Source organism: Homo sapiens, chromosome X (genome assembly GCF_000001405.40).
Source record: "Homo sapiens chromosome X, GRCh38.p14 Primary Assembly".
Classification (NCBI taxonomy): Eukaryota; Metazoa; Chordata; class Mammalia; order Primates; family Hominidae; genus Homo; species Homo sapiens.
In genome coordinates this window covers 7344652-7364727 of record NC_000023.11, presented here as the reverse complement: position 1 = coordinate 7364727, position 20076 = coordinate 7344652, and the positions used below count along the sequence as shown (strand labels likewise).

The following is a 20076-nucleotide window of genomic DNA, read 5'->3' as shown; positions in this document are numbered from 1 at the left end:
GGCAACCACTGATTTGTTTTTTACTGTTCTCATAGTTTTCCCTTTTCCAGAATGTCCCATAGTTGAAATCATACAGTATGAGCCTTTTGAGACTGGCTTCTTTCACTTAGTGATATGCATTTAAGTTTCCTCCATGCCTTCTTGTAGCCTGACAATTCATTTCTTTTAGGTGCTGAATAATAGTTGTCTGGATGTACCACGCATCTACTCATCCACTCATTTACTGAAGGACATCTTCATTGCTTCCAATTCACAATTGTGAATAAGGTTGCTATAAAAATCCGTGGCCAGGTTTTTGCATGGAAATAAGTCTTCAACTCCTTTGGGACAACTCCGTTTTTAAGTTGCCTTTACAACCTTGGGCAGAGGAGGAAAAATGACAGTGGGTGCTGGTCTGGACTAAATGTTACAGAGATTGAGGGGGACATAACCTTCACTGTGCCCAGAGAAGATGAAAGATTCCTGCTAAGGTGTCTGGCACCATGCTGTGCACTTTGGATACAAACATGAATAGAAATTGGTCCCTTTCTGAATGAGTTGGCAGTTTAAAACACACCTAGTTGAAATCATCTGTTACAAAAGATATAACAGCAGCACTAATGGGTTCCAAGGTGGAAGTGAGTTTTATACAGAGGAGACGATGGAGCTGAGACCTCTAAGATAAACTGTGGTTCATAATTTTGGGACTGTAACTAAGGTGCATAGAGAAGGGAGCATTCAAAGCAGGAAGAGTAGCTGGAATACAGACATGGGAATTTGTCCAACAAGGCGAACTAAAGAAAGTGCCATCAACACTCCAGGAATCCATCCTAAAGATGGCATAGAAGTTGGACAATTTTGCAATGATGACACTCTAGAGAGTCCATTTTGAATAACTGATGGCAAAAGAAATTTACTTTTTAAAATTAATTAATTAATTTTTTTAGAGACAGGGTCTTAATTTGTTGCCCAGGCTGGAGTGCAGTGGCACAATCTCAGCTCACTGCAACCTCAACCTCCTGGACTCAAGTGATCCTCCTGCCTCAGCCTCCTGAATAGCTGGAACTACAGGTACACATAAGCACACCAGGCTAATTTTTCTTTCTTTTTTTTTTTTTTTCTTTTTTTGAGATGTAGTCTTGCTCTGTCACCCAGGCTGGAGTGCAGTGGTGCAATCTCAGCTCACTGCAACCTCCATCTCCCAAGCAGCTGGGATTAGAGGTGCCTGCCACATTTTTGTACTTTTAGTAGATATGGGGTTTCACCATGTTGCCCAGGCTGGTCTCGAACTCCTGGGCTCAAGCCATCTGCCTGCCTCAGCCCCCCAAAGTTTTGGGATTACAGGTATGAGCCACCATGCCCAGCCTACTGTATCTTTTTTAATTGAAATGGTGGATTTCATTTTTTAAAAAATCAGATACAATTCACATCCCATAATACTTAGCATCTTAACCTGGACAATTCAGTGGTTTTTCTATCATAAAATTGTGCAACCAGCACCAACACCTAATTTCAGAATATTATCATCCCTGGAAAAAGAAACCCTCTACCCATGAGAGGTTGCTCCTTATCCCTCCTCCCTCCAGCTTCTGGCAAAGGCTATCTCTCCTTTCTGTTTCTATGGGTTTGCCTGTTCTGGACATTTCATATAAATGGGTCCTAGATGTTGTGTTTCCTTGTATCAGGCTCTTTTACTGAGCATTATTTTCCACATTTATCCATGTATTATACGTATCAGGGCTTCACTCCCTCAGAGAAAATATTTCTTTGTACTAGGCAACTCCATATCAGGTCAAACACAGATAAATACACCAGCATTAGGAATGAAGATTTCCTGGAGCTCCAGCCACACTCCGCTCCCTCTGCTCCCTGCTAGAGAACCCACGGGCTGCTGTTTTTCCAGCCACCATTCAGTTGGAGAATACAGGCTTGCACTAGGGTAAGCTCAAGGTAAGCTCAAATGCCAACGAGCACACTCTTCTTACTGAGATCCCACCGTTGTTCCCAGGGGATGTAATAAGTCTTTCGCTAATTTCCAGAGTTCTGTAAAAGTTATTTCTGACAACTTTCTCTAGCTTTATTATTGATTTCACAGAGAAGAGAGTTTTCGGAAGTCCTAATTTGCTATGTCAACTTCATCTCCTTTTGATAAGACTTTAACTTTATGAAGTAGATTGTAAAACTGGCCACAGAATCTTCCCTCCTTTGTATGCATGTTCTTTTTTGTTTTTTCTTTTGTTTTGTTTTGTTTTGTAATGTGCCTTTGCAGCTACTCCCTTTAAGAGTTCTCTTTATATCTACCCTTGCAGCTGGGCTTAGCCAGGTGACTTGTTTGGGCTCTAGAGCAAGCAGACACAAGCATAGATTTGCAAGGTATCTGCACACTGGGCTGGTCCTCTCTTGCTGATCTTGTAACCACTAGAATTATAGCCTTGAGGACTGGCTGGGCTAGCCTGCTGGAGAATGAGAGAACCACATGCAGAGAGGCCCCAGGCGTTCCTGCCTTTCCAGATGAGGCCGTCATAAACCAGGTAGCCCAGTTGTTCATCAACCAATGTCAGATATTGAAGCAGGCCCAGCCAAAGTCATCTAAGAAAAACCACTCAGCTGAACCAAAATGTCAACCCACAAGACCAGCAGTTAAATATGTGGGTATAGCATTAGACCACTAAGTTTTGAGATGGTTTGACACACAGAAGATACCAATATAGTTTATGTCTTTATTAAATTTAACTCCTTTACTATTTACCTTTATGAAAATATATATACTTTGAAGAAACACATTGTCATAGCAATTTATGCAGTATATCATGAAACATTAAAATCCTTATTTTCTGTTCATGGATGACAATCCAAAATTTTAAAATATCATGACCATGATTGTGTTTGAAGATAGATAAAATGGTGACAATTATTGACGCTTGGGAATAAAGTTGTGGGGATTCAATATTACATTCTTTCTACTTTTGTGTTTGTTTGAAATTTTCCACAATAAAATATTTTTCTTAAAAATATGCCCAGCAATTACAATGCACTTTCTATCTTGTACTCTATTTGAAAGCACATAGATGAGTTTAGGTTTTAAAATTTAAATTTTCATGTGAGTCTCTCTCAAAAAACATGCCTTAGATTATTTTATTCTAAGTTTTCATTCCAAATTACTGAGGCTTCAATGGGCAGATTGAAAGCATTTTCCTTTCAGCATGAGCACAATGCAATTCCATGCAAATTATAAATAAATGATCTACACTATTATCAAATTTAATATAAAAATGCAAAATGCAAAGAGTCTCCTGTAGCGGTTCATGTCATATTTTAGCTGTCTTGCAAATAGCTTTAGCATATTTGATGAAGCTGTCTTGCTTTTGTAACATCTAAGGTATTGGCAACTAAAATGGACCACAAAGTAATCAGAGAACTGAGTTCCATGCTGAAAAGAACTCTGTTCTTCTGCCAAGATAAAAGAAAATCTAGGGCAATGTTATTAACTCCCTAAATTGGCAAATCCATATTTTATGGTTCAGAAAAATATTAATTGACCAAGCAGGAAATAGCCTAGAGTACTATTTCAATTTGTATTTATCCTTACACACTACAGTTAAACAGGAGGAAAGATACATCACATGAGTGTTAATATGGTCCTGCTGAAAACATTTTGTAATTGGGTAATCCTCTCTTATTGGCATAATTAAAATGTGTTATGTAAGATAATTGCATTTAATCACAATAATGCCTTAAAATTCAGCCACCTCTGTCTTCACCATCTACCCTTCTCAGACACTAGAGTGACTTTTGTTATGGAACTGAATTATTTTGTGTTGAAACTTAATCCTCAAAATTGGTGACATAGGGCAATGTGAATTTGCAAAGTCTAATCCTTTTCCCTCCATTGTATGCACACTTCTGTGGTTATAGTGTAAAAGGGCGACATTGGAAGCTTAGCCACAGAGGTTAGTCTCTTGATATACAACAGAAGGAAAGAGGACAGATCTAACTCCAGGCTTCTTATTAAAGGTTTCAAAATGGATGGGCAGTACTAAGTGTCTTCAGCACTCACAGAGTGCACATTAACATAGCTGCCTGGGCTGAAGCAAAAATAGATTTGTCATTGCCATTATATTCCAGAAAGGGCATCAAGTCATCTAGCTGTTAGGGACACTGCTCATTGCCAAATCTCACTGAAAGATAATCCAAGAGCATTGTCATTTTCTAGAATAAATCTCTGCATCTCCAAAAGGGATTTCTCTTATTTTTAGAAAACTTCTGTGGAGCAGAGAGGTGCCGAGATGAACTTTTGCAGAGAAATATTTATTTTTATGCCATGGTAAGTGATGAGCTGATATTAGATCTCTGCACATTTTAGACACACAAGACAGTGAGGGGTAAGGATCTGAAATTCTGGTTCTTTTCTCTGCCCTGGAGCTTAAATAGTGGTTAGGATGGAATCATTCATCAAGCACTTTCTTATGCATTATCTAAGATAGTTGAAGATAGACTATTACAGGGTAATTGTCACCCTGAGACTGATAGCATGTTGGTTCTCTCACCCTCTATTTTATCTTTAAGATAACTGCATCATAAACAGACGTGGGATGACTAAGGTTTGCCTACGTGTCTCCTACTAATCTTTCTCTTGCCTTTCCATTCCCTTCTCCCATTTTGACACAGAAGTCCTTGTCTCATTTGGGGCTGGTAGCTCTCTTCTAAGTGTCATCACTGTTGAATTTAATGAACTTTACACAAAAGGAGCCATTATAACCCTGGAAAAGGTTTAACATTGCTTTGTTGTGATGGAAATAATACAATAAAATTTTAAATATGCTTCCTCACACAAGTTACCCTTTAAAGCATTGTCATGGAAAATAATAGCACTATATAATTTTTTAAACACCAGAATTCACTCAGCATGACTGGGATGAATAAAAGGCGAACAATTTAAATGAGAAAGGGTCAAAAGACCATTTACTTGCATTCAAAGCACTAATAAGTAGGATGCACACGAATATTATTGTTCCTACTAGATATTATTTTCATTTTAAAAGGATTGTCAAAAAATTTAACATACAATTAAGTAGGATTAAATATTTTAAACACATTTAAAGTGACATTAAAATGCAGGGCTTGCTATAGTTGTTGAAACATAGGGATCTGAAGTTGTACAATCCTTCAATTTCCGTGTGGCATAAGATGTTACCAAATGAAGTGCCATTCACCTCCCTAAGATTCACTCAGTAAAAGTTAGTAGATGTGTATATTTCTGAAGATACAGTGAGTCTCAACATTAGTTTTGTTTTGTTTTTACCTGGCCCAAAGCCATTCTCATTTTTCCTTTCCTCCAACTATCTGAATTATTTTTCCAAGTCTGATTAAGCCTCGGATATTCCATGGTCCAAAATATCCCAGGATCCTTTAGCTATAAACTCCCTGAGGGATAAAAATGGGAAATGAAATATTTTGCAAAATGTAATACTCATTCCTTTGCAGAAACAGAATGGTAATATAAGTTGCTCAGGATGAATGTATCTAGGCTGCAGGAAAAATATCCAAATCTCAGTGGCTTCAGCAACAAAGCTTTCTTTCTTGTTCACACTGTGTATTACTCCTAAGTTATCTGGACTCTGTTTGGTGTCATCTTAACTCTGAGACCACCCGGAGGGAGCAGCCTCTGTGTGGGATGTTGAGAAAGTGCTGGTGACAGATGCTGTAGCGCTGAAGTAGCCTGTGACATGTCTCCTCACGGCTCACGAAGGGCCAGAGTGCAGTCCTACCATTTGTCTGAGCAGCATAGTAAGCTGAAAACCTTTAGCAGACAGTGTGGTGATGCCCAGGGAACAGTGAACCAACAGATAACCACAAAACTATGTGCCGTTTTTTCCCTCAACGCAATACATCAACTCTTGGTGAATTTTAGCTCTATTTTAATGATCTGTACGCTTGGATTACCCTTTTCACTCCAGAATGTCTCATGTCAATACATTAGTTCATAGATTCATCCATGGGTTTTACAAACCGTACTCCTGTGTCCCTTGCTAGAAAAATCAAGGTAGTCAGTTGTGTCCATTACTTACATATCCATCTATTTTTGCAACATCACTATCTAATGGATATTGCTACATATGGTGGCACAGGTTGTGCACTGCACAAATTTAGAAAATGTTCTTCCCACTGCGGATTATGTTAATGCTGCCTCCTGGAGTTGTGCAGTACACAGCATGCACAGTCATATATGAAGGTCATGAATCTATCCATTTCTTTTTTTATTAACCAAAAAAGCATTCCATAAATCTAAGCATAAAGCAATGTATGTACTGTTTTTTTGTGCCTGGATCCTCATATGTAAGAGGACAATAATAACAGCTATCTAACAGATGTACAGTGAAGATTAAATAGACGAATCCACTGAAGCACTTAGAACCATGTCTGGGATCCATGAGACTCATCAACCACCATCCATATCCCTGCCTGTAACACCTGCATGTGGACCCAGACACTGCCCTCTTCTTCCCTTCAGTGCAATGGGATGTGCTACAGAGCTCACTTTGTCTCTGCCCCTGATGTGACAATGTGAACAGCTCTCCCTGATACAAGCTCTAATGGATGGCCTGTCTGATCCGGCTTTCTCTTAGTAGTTACTGACCCGATGCATTTCCCTTGTCTGATAAAATGCCACCAGTGCCACCAGTGCCCTTTCCTGAATTATTTCAAGCTCTGACTTTCCCCAGCCTTTTCCTATAGTACTTGTCACCTTCATGCACATCAGTCCGAGAGGCACTAGACAAGGGTACTTTCAAACCTTGCTGCAGAATGCCTTCAGATTTTAACACAGAGCCTACACTTTGCATTAACAGCATAGTTTACAACCTGACTTTGAAAGAAAAGCACAAGATGCAAGAATCTCATGAACTAATTAGAAATATTAAACACGAGTTGCATGGTATTATTTCAAAGGTTGATGAAATAGCGTGGCTTTAAATATTATGTCATTGTTTGATATTTTGCTAAGACTAAGATCTGATCAACAGAACTAAAATATTGCATCTACTAGAGTACTACACAGGCACTATTTTAAAAAGTATTTCAAAAGTGACAAAGTTTATAGGGAATTCAAATAATATATTATAAAAACATATTCATTGGAAAATTCAAAATTTTCAAATGCCATTAAAAACAACATCATCTTTCCATATGTGTAATATATTTTGAAATCTATTATCCTCATAGAATCCAGTGAAACAAAATACAATATTTCAAAAGAACCTCAATATTTAGTAATAGTCGTAATAATTATGTTTGTTGCTCAGATTAATCAACTCTGCATTTTCACTCATTTATACTAGAATTGCAGAATCACTTATAATCAATCCTGGGCCACAATTAATTGATGGTAGACTCCACTATATTTTTATCTTTAAGTTTATCTGACTTCCACCTTCACACAGCTGATAGCCTTTAAAGAATTAATGCACAGGACTTCTATTTAAAACAGTACCAGTAAATCAAAGCATCTTTTTGAAATCCAAAGAACTATCATCTTTTTGAAATCCAAAGAACTATCATAAAATGTTTGCAGCTTGCACTGTGCACCTGGAAAAGCCGCAGACACTCCACACCAGCCCATGAAAGCAGCCAGGAGGGAGGCTGTACCCTGCAAAGCCACAGGGGCAGAGCTGCCCAAGGTCATGGGAGCCCACCTCTTGCATCAGCATAACCTGGATGTGAGACATGGAGTCAAAGGAGATGATTTTGGGGCTTTAAGATTTAATGACTGCCCTATTGGATTTCGGACTTGTATGGGGCCGGTAACCCCTTTGTTTTGACCAATTTATCCCATTTGGAATGGGTGTGTATTTACCCAATGTCTGTATCCCCATTGTATGTAGGAAGTAACTAACTTGCTTTTGATTTCACAGGCTCATAGGCAGAAGGAACTCACCTTGTCTCAGATGAGACTTTGGACGTGGACTTTTGAGTTAATGCTGGAATGAGTTAGACTGTTGGGAAAGCATGATTGTGTTTTGAAATGTGAGGACGTGAGATTTGGGAGAGGCCAGAGGCAGAATGATATGGTTTGGCTGTGTCCCCACTGAAATCTCATCTTGAATTGTAGTTCCCATAATCACCACATGTCATGGGAGGGACCCAGTGAAAGGTAACTGAATCATGGGGGGTGGTTACCTCCATGCTGTTCTTGTGATAGTGAGTTCTTATGAGATCTGATGGTTTTATAAGGGACTTTTCCTCCCCTTTGCTCTGCACTGCTTCTTGCTGCCACCATGTGAAGAAGGACGTTTTTGCTTCCCCTTCCATCATGATTGTAAGTTTCCTGAGGCCTCCCCAGCTCTGTGGAACTGTGAGTCAACTAAACGTCTTTTCTTTATAAATTACCCAGTCTTGAGTATGTCTTTATTAGCAGCATGACAACGGACTAATATATTACCATTCATCCCTTAGGCCCTCCTCTGAGCTCTTATCTCAATTTTCTGTATTCAATGACAACAAGCAGAGTACCCATAGAGCAGCAGTTCCCAAACTTTTTGGCACCAGGGACTAAAAGACAATTTTTCCACAAACTGGGGGTGGCGGATGGTTTCGGATGATTCAAATACATTACATTCATTGTACACTTTATTCCTATTATTATTACATTCTAATATATAATAAAATAATTATACAACTCACCATAATGTAGGATCAGTGAGAGCCCTGAGCTAGTTTTCCTGCAACTAGACAGTTCCATCTGGGGGTAACAGGAGACAGAGACAGATCATCAGGCATAAGATTCTCATAAGGAGCGCACAACCTAGATCCCTCGCATGTGCAGTTTACAATAGGGTTCTTGCTCTTATGAGAATCTAATGTGGCTGCTCATCTGACAGGAGGTGGTGCTCAGGTGGTAACGTGAGTAATGGAGAGAGGCCGTAAATATAGATGAAGCTTTGCTCACTTGCCCTCCGCTCACTTCCTGCTTTGTGTCTCAGTTCCTAACAGGCCATGGACTGGTAGTGGTCTGTGGCCTGGGGGTGGGGACTCTCACCATAGAGGATTATGCAGGAAACTTATGGCCAGGCCCGAGTGGCTCATATGGTGCCAACATTACTATAAGGGAAACAGGAAAATATCATCTTGCTCAGCACTCACTGAGATGAATCTGTATATTTGAACCATGAGATAGTTTCTATTCCAAATGTAGCAACCATTGGGCCCTGCGCACTGGAGAATATGCATATCTTTGTAAATATGGTACTTTGTGTATTTATTTTTGCACCCATTGTTAAATTAGTATAAATATTGACAAGCAATTCAAAGTACCTATTTCTAAAAATATGTTCATTAACAATTTTACCTTTAGAAAAACACTACAATCCCCATGTATAATTTAGTTTCAAACCTTAGATACTCATATACTCAGTGAAGCAAATTTTATAGCCCAGACCTCAATATAAAAGTGACTGTGTTTGCTTATTGTGTAAAGTGTATGTAAGAAATTATACAATTTGCTACTTTGAAGATGTGATGTGTTTGCCAGGTAAGATAAACTTACCATGGCCAGGTGCAGTGGCTCACACCTGTAATTCCAGCACTTTGGGAGGCCAGGGTGGGTGGATCACCTGAGGTCAGGAGTTTGAGACCAGCCTGGCCAACATGATGAAACCCCATTTCTACTAAAAAATACAAAAATTAGCCAGGTGTGGTGGTGCACACCTATAGTCCCAGTGACTTGGGAGGCTGAAGTGGGAGAATCGCTTGAACCCAGAAGGTGGAGTTTGCAGTGAGCCAAGATTGCACCACTGCACTCCAGCCTGGGCGACAGAGTGAGACTCTGTGAAAAAAAAAAAAAAAAAAAAAAAAAGATACACTTACCAAAAAATCCTTTAGAGGATTTGAACTTAATGAGTAGAACCACTCTCAGATGAACCCCCAGATTTGAGGGTCTCCTATATGGAAGGCCCATGAAGTTCTTAGAAAACTGATACATAGTTACATGGCAATGTTTCCTTTCCAGAAAGACATGGGTAGTTTTTAAGCTGCTTGCATTCTAACAAGGAAAGCTGATGTTTCCTTCATTGGAAAGGCTCCCATTAAAATAATACTCAACAAAGTAAAATATTGGTGTATTACAATTACTTTATTCAGATCTATTACACAAAGAGATGGTATTAAGCAACACTGGCTTGAGTGATATCTTGCAACACAGAACAGGTTCACGATGTCGGAAAACCAAGAATGCTCAGGGCCTCAGAAAGCTGAGCTCTAAAGACCCTGCACAGTCATGCTGTCCCAATAGGTTTCATGTTGTCATGAATGATGTCAAAGAAAAAAATTTTTCAATGCTACCTATTAAAGCACAGTAAGACTTTATTTAGGACCATCATGACAGGTACGGGGACCACAGCAATGGGGACTTGTAGTAGGGGAGAGAGACTGGACTCAGCTCTGAATACACCATGGAAAACTGGGGATTTATAGACAGGGAACAGGGTCAGGGGCAGTGGATGGAAGATTACCAAGAGGAAATATCAGGGAGCATTCATCTAAACCGACCTAACAGGATTCTAGCTGAAGGCAGGCCAGTTGACCAGACATCACCTGGGGGATGGTGGAGGCTGAGGAGCCTGATCAGATACTGAGGTTGAACAGATATGGGGGGGTTAGGTGTTCTTGCTAAACTGACCTAATAGACTTCTTGCCAAAACTAGATTTTACAAGGAAGTGCCCAGATTGGGCCTGGGAGAAGGTTGAGGAGCTTGGCTAAAGTTTGGCCAAGTGGAGAATCTTTGTCCATGAAGCCTCAGATGGATGTGAGGTCCGTAGAGGTCAGACAGCTATGATTTAAGAGGTTTTGAGCATTTGCATCACACATCCCATTCTCTAGGCATTAAAGAGAAGGCAACAAGGCTTTAGCTTTTAGAAGTATCCATGTAATCAACACCTTTCCTCCCGGGCATGTCGGCTCCCTATGGCCACGCACTCTCCAGCAGCCTCTTTATGGACACTTTTTGTCATTTTAAGAGAATAGCTCGATCGAATGAGAGCCGATCCTAGTCCCAATACCATGCCCTTCTCACTCCAATTTCTTACTGTTTCGGGGTTTGTTCTGATACTAGTTTGGTTTTCCAAAGGAATCCAGTTGAAACAAAGAGAAGAGAGAATAATACTTTTCAAATCAAATTTCTGCCCCAGGTATTTGTAGAGCAAAGCAGCTGCTTCACCAGGGTAGGATACCTTCCCCAGGGCCCAGTAAGACTTTCATGGGCCACAAAGGCAAAACATATTAAATATATTTTAATATATAAATATATAAAGTAAAAACATATTAACATACTATTTTATGACTATGTTGGTGCAAATACCAATATGATTTTCAATCCCCAATGTTCATTTCCTTTTCTTCTGATTATAAAATAAAACATTTTTGTAGGCCCCTTAAAAGGCCTTAGAGAGTGTGCCTTATGGGTAATAATCGGGCCTTTTCCCACTCTCGGATCATGGAGGTCGGAGCTATTTTATGTCTTATTCTTCTCTGCATTTCTCAGCCTCTCTCTTGAGCTAAGAAAGTTGACGAATCTTTGCAGAACTGGAACTTGTATTCCCCATTGCTTGACATCAAGTTGGAAATGTAGTAAACATTCCCCACATTGTTGAATTGAGTCACGATAGAAAGCAGGGTATTAGCGCACAGCATTTTTAATTGCCAAGGAAAATTTTATTTTAGCTTTGCATTAACATATTCTAAATAATCCTTTCACTTAATGCAATCAGATTCCTGTGACAAGCCAAATACTTGTTTTTTTGTGTGTGTGTGTTTCCCCTTCACTTTTCATTGTATGCCCTTCAGAAAAATCTGAGAAGTGGGCTTCCATTTTTGAAAAACAGGACTTCCTTAGTACCATAGATACGTAGATTGCAATTTTGCTTTTCCTGCAGCATTACTGACCTTGTGAAATGATGCCTATGTATACGTCATTAATCTATTTGCTTAACTTTTAATATCTAGTAATGCTAGAAATACAAGAATTTTTTAAAAGAATTTGCTTAAAGCTTCAAAACTCACTAAGGTTTGGATATGCAACTCCACAGGTAATATGAATGAGATGCTTTGTAAACAAGCAGCCATGCCTTACAGCCTGCAACAAACAAGCAAACAAACAACAAAACTATGCCTTAAAGAAGGTTTGTGAGGTTTCTCCTGGACAAAGGAATTCCAATTTCCTGTTTTACATTCAAATCAAAACTTTCAGATGGTAAATGGTTTGAAATTTAAGATGACTACAGTTACCACAAATCGACCTGATTTCCAAATGTCCTGAAATGTGATCTCAATTATTTTGAGGCACTTTTAAACTCAATGTATTTGCATCTAGAGATATACTTCATCCTTCATTTGCTATTGACATTTTACAGGTTAAATAACTGGTTCTAGACACAAATAGGCATTCATATAATCTATAAAGGCTCTTCAAGTTATTTAATCCTGCAGCATTTCCACATCATCAAGTGTTTTCAGAAAGTCTTACTTGCATTGAATATGTTAGACTTTGAGTAAACATTGTCATCTTATAGGATAAATTTATAATAGTGCCTTTAAATAGTTTCCACATGACAGCATCAGTAGCAATCCTAACACATCATCAGTAAGCTAGTACCCTCTCTAAGAATGTTTTCTAAAGCAAGAATACAGATTATCCCACAATTTCTGGAACGAGAAATCCAAGTTAAAAGGAAGAATCTTGTATGCTTTTCAGCTTTCAACAACTCTGGAGGTAGGGGGTAGGAATCACTTCTTTCTTCTCTTTCTTTTTTTTTTTTTTTTTTAGAAAGAGAAGCAAAATTAACGTTTGAAATAGAAGAACTTAAAGGGCAACTGGGGAAATGCTGTCAAATCCTCCCAGCCCAATAGTATGCCCCTCTTGCTCCAACTTCCCAGGGTTGTGGGTAGGGATAGAGAAATTATAGCCAACTTTCAGAAAGCCCAAGTCATGGCTAACATTCTCTGCAAACCGCTGTGTGGGTTACATTACAGGTGTCCCATTCATGGGCACTGTCTTGGAATTGAGCAAACTCTGGGCAAATAGAAGGTGGTCAGACAAGTCCACAAAAGAGATAAATGCATAAGCAGGTGGATGGCAGCTTCTCTCGATTTTGCCATAAAGGAATCCAATCACATTGTTGGGGAAAGTCTTATATCTGAAGAAATGATTGCACTTTACATTCCATAGGAGGCTTTCCTCAGGATGGGCTGGTGGTTTAGACTTTGAAACTATCTCCAGCTGTGCCACTACGAGGCCCTCTCCTAGGCGATCAGTTGCGCATTTTCCCTGATTTACAGGGGCTTGGGGGAAATGGGATGAAAACAAAATCATGCATCTCATTGTGGATTGGAAGCACAGAAATTTCTCAGTCACAAAACTTGCATACATGACTGTTCTCTGATGACTAACTAGAACTAAAGGAAATTATGCTTATGTGTATAGATCATGGATTGCTTGTGAGTGATTTTTGTTCCCCTCCAAATATCAGAGACTTTCTAGGCCAATGATTCTGAATTACACTGGAAGAGATTCCATGAACCACAGCATCTCCACAGTGGGCTTTTAATTCAGAACTTCCATTCCCCAAAGAAAACAGTGGAATCCAAGAATTATACTACAAATTATGGAATGGAAAGCAGTTCAGGAGAGATTTGCCTTGGGATTATTATTACTGTAAAATTTTGCAAAAAATCATTGTGCAAAGAAATCTATTTGTGAGCTTCTACTGTATTTACTTAAATAGTGTTAAGCTTCTAGGTCCCTATTTTAGACATCTTAACCCTTTTGAGGAAAGAATATACTGTATGTGTGTGTGTGTATGTATGCATAACTATATATATGATGAAGAGCAAGCATTTGATATGTGTTTTAACTAATACCAGTAATAATGACTTGCCTTCCAATAACCAAAGTGGAACTTACCATCATCTATTATTCCTAAAGAAGATCTTTCATTCACCTTAAAGTTACTTATGTTTAGACGACTAAACTCTTTTTTATGTGATTGCCTTTTTATTATGCTGGTTATTGCATCACTGCAGATTATAGAGTAAATGGTAACTTATACTGTTGACATAGGTATTTGCTGAGGGGTGAGTTAAGGTACCTCCTGCACCTTTCTGTTTTAAGATTGCCTTCTGCACCTTTTTGTCATCTGCTTGCACTGGTGTGCCTTGTGAATGCCCCTCTATTCATTCTATTTCCATGAGTCCAAGACTCTGGCCACAGAAGGCATAAACCTACCATCTTCCTGTCTGTATACTACAGACCTTATCCCCCTCACCCCTCCAGTTGAGTAGCTGTTGAGCTCTGGCCCAAGCCTTCAGGTGATAAAATGGAGAATCAGTCCAAATCCAAGGTGTAGATGGAGTTATGTTTCCCCAGTGCCACTCTCAGGCGTGTTTGTAGTGAAGATGGTGAGCTTTGCCACATGCGTCTGTCTGGTCCCCAGGCGCTGCTAGCGGCTCAGTCTCTTATCCTGTTTTTCTCTATCACACTGGCAAGACAGGCCGGTGGAAGGACAGCACAGCTGAAGCCAGGGCTTCCAAAGAAAGTTGTTCCATGAAAACTGATCGGGCACCTCTGGCAGGGTCTGGGTGTGTCTGTCCGCAGCTTCCTGCATGACTTTGAGGATTTCATAAAACCGGGGCTCGGATGCTGGAGTTAGTGGGTTTCTCTCTCTGGGATCTTTGGAAATATCAAAGAGTAAAGGTGGGTCGTGATGGGTGACATAACTCCCGAAACAGAAGCACACGTGTGTGGCAAAGCATCCGTTGGAACCCACGGGGTTGAAGTTGGGGGTGAAGAAAAAGGCCTTCCAGATGGATGTGCCTGTGGTTTAAAAGGATGGAAACGGCATTAGGTATGAAGCATCCTTGTATGTACCACAAATGAAAAAGTGATGCGGAAATTATGCTGCCATGTGCTTTAAGAAGGTGAAGATATCATAAGGCTGCAGACACAATGTTAATATGTACAGGAAAGATTATGAAGCCACACATAGACGCCCACACACACAGCCAGCAGGAACAGCGTCAAACTTGGTAGGACCATAGTTAACAGTTTATTTTCTCAGTTTCCAGAAAGTCCAAAAAATGTCGAATCAAGAATTAAATGAACTTTGGGAGGCCGAGACAGATAGACCACTTGAGGTCAGGAGTTCGAGACCAGCCTGGCCAACATGGCGAAACCCCGTCTCTGCTAAAAAATACAAAAATTAGCCAGGTGTTGTGGCAGGTCCCTGTAATCCCAGCTACTCAGGAAGCTGAGGCAAAAGAATCACTTGAACCTGGGAGGTGGTGGTTGCAGTGAGCTGAGATTGTGCCACTGCACTCCAGCCTGGGCGACAGAATGAGACTCTGTCTCAAAAAAAAAAAAAAAAAAAAAAAAAAAAAAAAAAAAAGGAATTAAATGAGGGCCGAGTGCAGCGGCTCATGCTTGTAATATCAGCACTTTGGGAGGCCGAGGTGGAAGAATCACTTGAGCCTTGAGCCTAGGTAGGGGTTTGAGACCAGCCTGGGCAACACAGTTAAAGCCCATCTCTATAAGAAATTAAAAAAAAAAAAAAAAAAAAGCTGGGTGTGGTGGCACGTGTCTGTAGTCCCAGCTACTCCAGAGGCTAAGGCAGGAGGATTGTGTGAACCTAGGCAGTTGAAACCGCAGTGAGCTATGATCATGCCACTGCACTCCAGCCTGGGTGGCAGAGCAAGACCCCGTCTCAAAAAAACAAAACAAAACAAAAAACAAACCCACAAAAATAAACAAAAATAAAAAAGAATTAAATGAGGCTAGAAGTGATGGTGAGGAGGGATTACAAATGGGGAATGGAAATGATCTTTTGGCGATGAAGGAGATGTTCTGAAAGTAGACTGCTCAACTCTATACATTTTCTAAAAATCTTTAAATTAGAATATAATGGCATGCAACGTATACCTTTAAAAGCTGCTAGGAATTCCAAATTAGGGGAATTCATCAACACCAGAATAGGATGGTTAGTTTTTAAAATGTAAGTTCTGTATTTCAATAAACTCCAAAATATTGAAATTGCTAGGAAAAACTAATTCACAAACAAATGAATAATTATGAAATAATTGATTCATTTCCTACTTATCGGACAATGTTATCATTTTCTGAGGAGCTGACTGCTCTCAAACACCTTCTAAGAGAGGCCTAAACATGTTTCATGGGTAGGCAAAATGTAGCAGATAAAAACAGAGAATTAAAATGCATGAACCGACTAGAATCAGGTGCAGAACGTGAATGCCCTTACAGCTTTTACATAAAACCAAAGAGGCATTCCTCCTAGGAAGCCCTCCACCCCTGTGTAAGTCATCCCGATCATTTGTGCATATAATGGCATGTGTGACTTTTGTAATTATAGGCATTTCATGATCAACTGATCAAAATGCAAAACTGATTAATGCAATCGGTTTAAACCAACAGTCACTAGGGCATGTGTTGTCCCCAAATCGCCCCTAACCTTGGACAAGGTTAGTGATGGTAAAAGTCAGCCTCTTTGTGTATGTGGGTTTTTTTTAAAGCTGAGAAAGACAGGGAAAGCGAGGTGAATACGTTTAGATTAATATATTAAAGAAGATTCATAATGAGACGACTGCAGTCTGTGGCATAGCTGATTCTGCGAGAGCAGGACATGACATCTGTGCACTTTACATGGGCTCAGTGCACCTGCTTCAGAAAGATAAGGTCAAGCTGACACACAGACACGCCAGGCTGCAGGAAGAATTCCAGGACTTGGTTACCATCTCCAGCAGGGTTTAAAAAGGCAGCAAGTAACCTTAAGATGCTTCCCATCCACTCGTCTCATCCCACACTTTCTTCCAGGGTATGAGAAATTTCCTTCAGAAGCCTTTTTGGAGACAGGCTGACAGAGCCTGCCATTTGCAGCCACTTAGAATCCTTCATCAGGGTCAGCCGAGAGAGAAAGTGGGTACACAGAGAAGCGAGCCAGGAAGCCTCTCTTGCTCATGCTCCCAATGATGCAAATCTAGAGGGCGTTTTGAACTTGACATTCGAGTCAAGCCTCTTTGTGTTTAAAACCCCAGGAGAATACAGGCTCCTGGAATAAATTCATGTAAAGAGCCTGTATTTTCCACTTGCTTTTGAAAGCCACTCAAATGATCCTGTCATTACTACTAGAGCACAATCCTCCTCAGGTGTGAGCTGGAAGATCAGATTGACATCAGGCCCAGTCAAGAGATGCAGGCACCCCGGCCTGGGAATGGCAGTGGTGTTGCTGGGTAGTTCAGACAAGTGTAGAACTAAGAATTAATTATTCTAAAGAATTATTTAGCATGCTCTGGGGTTGCTTGCCTTTTTATCCTTTCATTTGGATTTTTAAAAACTTTTCATAAAAAGGTAGATTGCTTAGTCTCTGTGCTGTTTCTCTGGACCACTTTAGATTTACTGAAAAGAGAGAACTAGAACTGCACTTTTTATTGTACAGTGGCTCACAAGGTAACAACCCCGACTTTGGAAGCTTGTTCTATTATTCACCAGGAACCCAGCAACTGACATCTCCAAAGGTGTCATTTCAAAGATAAATAGCACAGCTCAGTCACTAGATAAAACAGAAGGCACCTGGCAGAGTCATCTTCTTTTGTTTAATTTATATTTTCGATTTGTATTTTCTAGAGACAGGGTCTTGCATTATCACTCAGGCTGGAGTGCAGTGGTATGATCATAGCTCACTATAGTCTTGAACTCCTGGGCTCAAGCAATCCTCCTGCCTCAGCCTCCTAAGTAGCTGGGACCACAGGTGTATGCCACCAGGCCCAGCTATATTTTAAATTTTTTTGTAGAAATGGGGTGTCTCCATGTTGCCCAGGCTGGTCTCGAACTCCTGGGCTCAAGCAATCCTCCTGCCTTGGCCTCCCAAAGCACTGGGATTACAGGTGTGAGCCACCATGCCCAGCATCATCTTATATTTTTCATAGGTATATTTAGTCCTGTATTCCAAAATTATCTTGATAACATACTTCATCCTGAGTATCCTCATATACTAGAAAAATGTTAAATTTTTAAAAAATGTTTATTCACTACTGTATTTTAAAAATTATCATCAACTGCTCTGATAAAAGACTGTTTCTCCCTCACCACTGAAAACGATAAGTATTTTGACCAAACTGGGAACTTAGACTCATTTATAACTGAGATCCAATGACCTGGAAAAGGAATGATTAAATTTGGTATAAAGAATGCAGGGAAATTAAAGTGGACAGTTTTTTTTTTTTTTTTTTTTTTACTTGTTTAAGTAGTCTAAGTAGTGGTGAGGACAATAATTCTACTGAGATTTTAAAAATCCTCCCCCAAATTAAGAAAACGAATTGTCACAAGTGATGGTCAAAGATATCAATGACATATGATATAGCACTGTTATGTCACTGTGCTAGAACAAAATGCTTAGGAAATCATCACCCATCTGGTGAAACATATTTTTATATAAAATCACCACTAAACAATGTGACTCAACTCATGAGAGAAGAAAGTTTATTGTCATTTGACAAAAAGGCAAATAGAATTGAAGTGAGAAAAAGTTGATGCCTAAGCCAGAAACTGATTCAACATCCTCCACATAGGATCCTAAAACAGCTATCTTATTAAAAATAAACTAAGCTGTGAACAAAGAGAAATAAAGAGGTATCTGGGTTCCCTGGGATTGCCTGGGGACCACAGGGGCTTCTGACCCTGGAACAGAAGAGACGTTGTGATTTCTATTACTTCGTATTACAGCGACTCAGCCACAGGAAGTGGGAGCCCTGGCAAGGAAGCCCCGAAAATGAGCATATGTGCTCCCCAAGAACAAAAATAGAGAGGGCGCAAACCAGAACTTTCGTTATGTACTAAAATATTTTTTAAAATCAATATTAGTATCTAGCACAAGCTCCCTCTTAACGTCTTGGAGTCGGGTTGTGGCAGGCCAGGTCTCACTAACGCAGGCCTCCATGACATCTGTTTCGGCACTGACCGAGTGGTGAAGTTACTATTAAAAGCTGAAAGAGCCAGTGTCCTCATACAAAGGCTGGAATGGAACAAAAGCCCATCAGGAGTTTTGCCCAGGCCTCTCCTGGGCCTTGAAGCATGACATGATAACGAAGGATTCTTAACAGGACTCGTTTAGGATTAAACAAGTTTTACTGGGGGTCTGAAGAAACTCCCCAGACCTCCACAAACAAGTTTACTGGAGATCTGAAGGAACTCCCCAAACCTCCATGATTTAGCAGGAGACAAGATAAGGGTAATCACCCCAGCACCTGGACCCATTTAGATTAAGCCAATTTACTGGGGCTCCAGAGGAAGGTCTTCAGGACTCAGATCTTGGTTATAGATTAAAAGAAGTTCATCACTTATATCTTTAGATGAATGCACACTTACACATAGACTAATAGCTTAGAAGATATATAAGCTCCGGAAAACTGCAATTTTGAGTTGGTCTGGGCAATATTTTCCAGGCCTTCTCCCTGTAACCGGTTACAGAAATAAAAACTCTCTTTCTCCCCAGTTCATCTGCATCTTTTTGTTGGGCTGCGAGAAATAGCAGTCCTACCCTCGGTTTGGTCCGGGAACAGGGTCATGCTACATCGCCTACAAATTTTAACAACGTCCTCGAAGGCCTCATTCTGTCTTTATCCCAAGGGCCCCAAGTGCTTCTGGCTTCTCATAGTGACGCAAGCCTCTCACATCTTGCATTCTGAATTCTCTACTTAGAGCAGTCACAACAGTCCATAACACAGCTCGGCACAGTCCAGACCCCAGGACACTCATTTCCAGGCCTCTCTGAATGTTTAAACTGCTGTCTTGCAGAAGTCTCAGAGCCATCACGTGAGACAAAACAAAACCAGGTCTGGAAAGCCTGTTCGGCACAAGTAAAGACACTGCGCGCATGATAGACACTCAGAGGCATCACACAACGTGAGTGTGCCCTTACGGCCCCTGCTTCTAACCCACAGCGGCTAAAGCAAGGTGCCCCCAACCTGGAACTCTGAGGCCACAAAAACAAGACTACACCTCCTTTTTGGGGATAATAAACCCTGAGTAATTCAAGCGCTCC

The 20076-nt window shown here is 40.2% G+C and overlaps 1 protein-coding gene across 7 annotated transcripts in view; it reads right to left on the bottom strand.

The window, feature by feature from the left end:
• The window catches only part of STS (steroid sulfatase), a 207352-nt gene continuing 197362 nt past the window's right edge, over positions 10087–20076 (bottom strand). For all 7 annotated transcript variants that reach the window (NM_001320750.3, NM_001320751.2, NM_001320752.2 and 4 more), the window contains one exon: positions 10087–14840. In NM_001320750.3, coding sequence (NP_001307679.1) covers positions 14467–14840 — 374 coding nt within the window. In that variant the 3' untranslated portion in view covers positions 10087–14466. The remainder of the gene's footprint in view (positions 14841–20076) is intronic.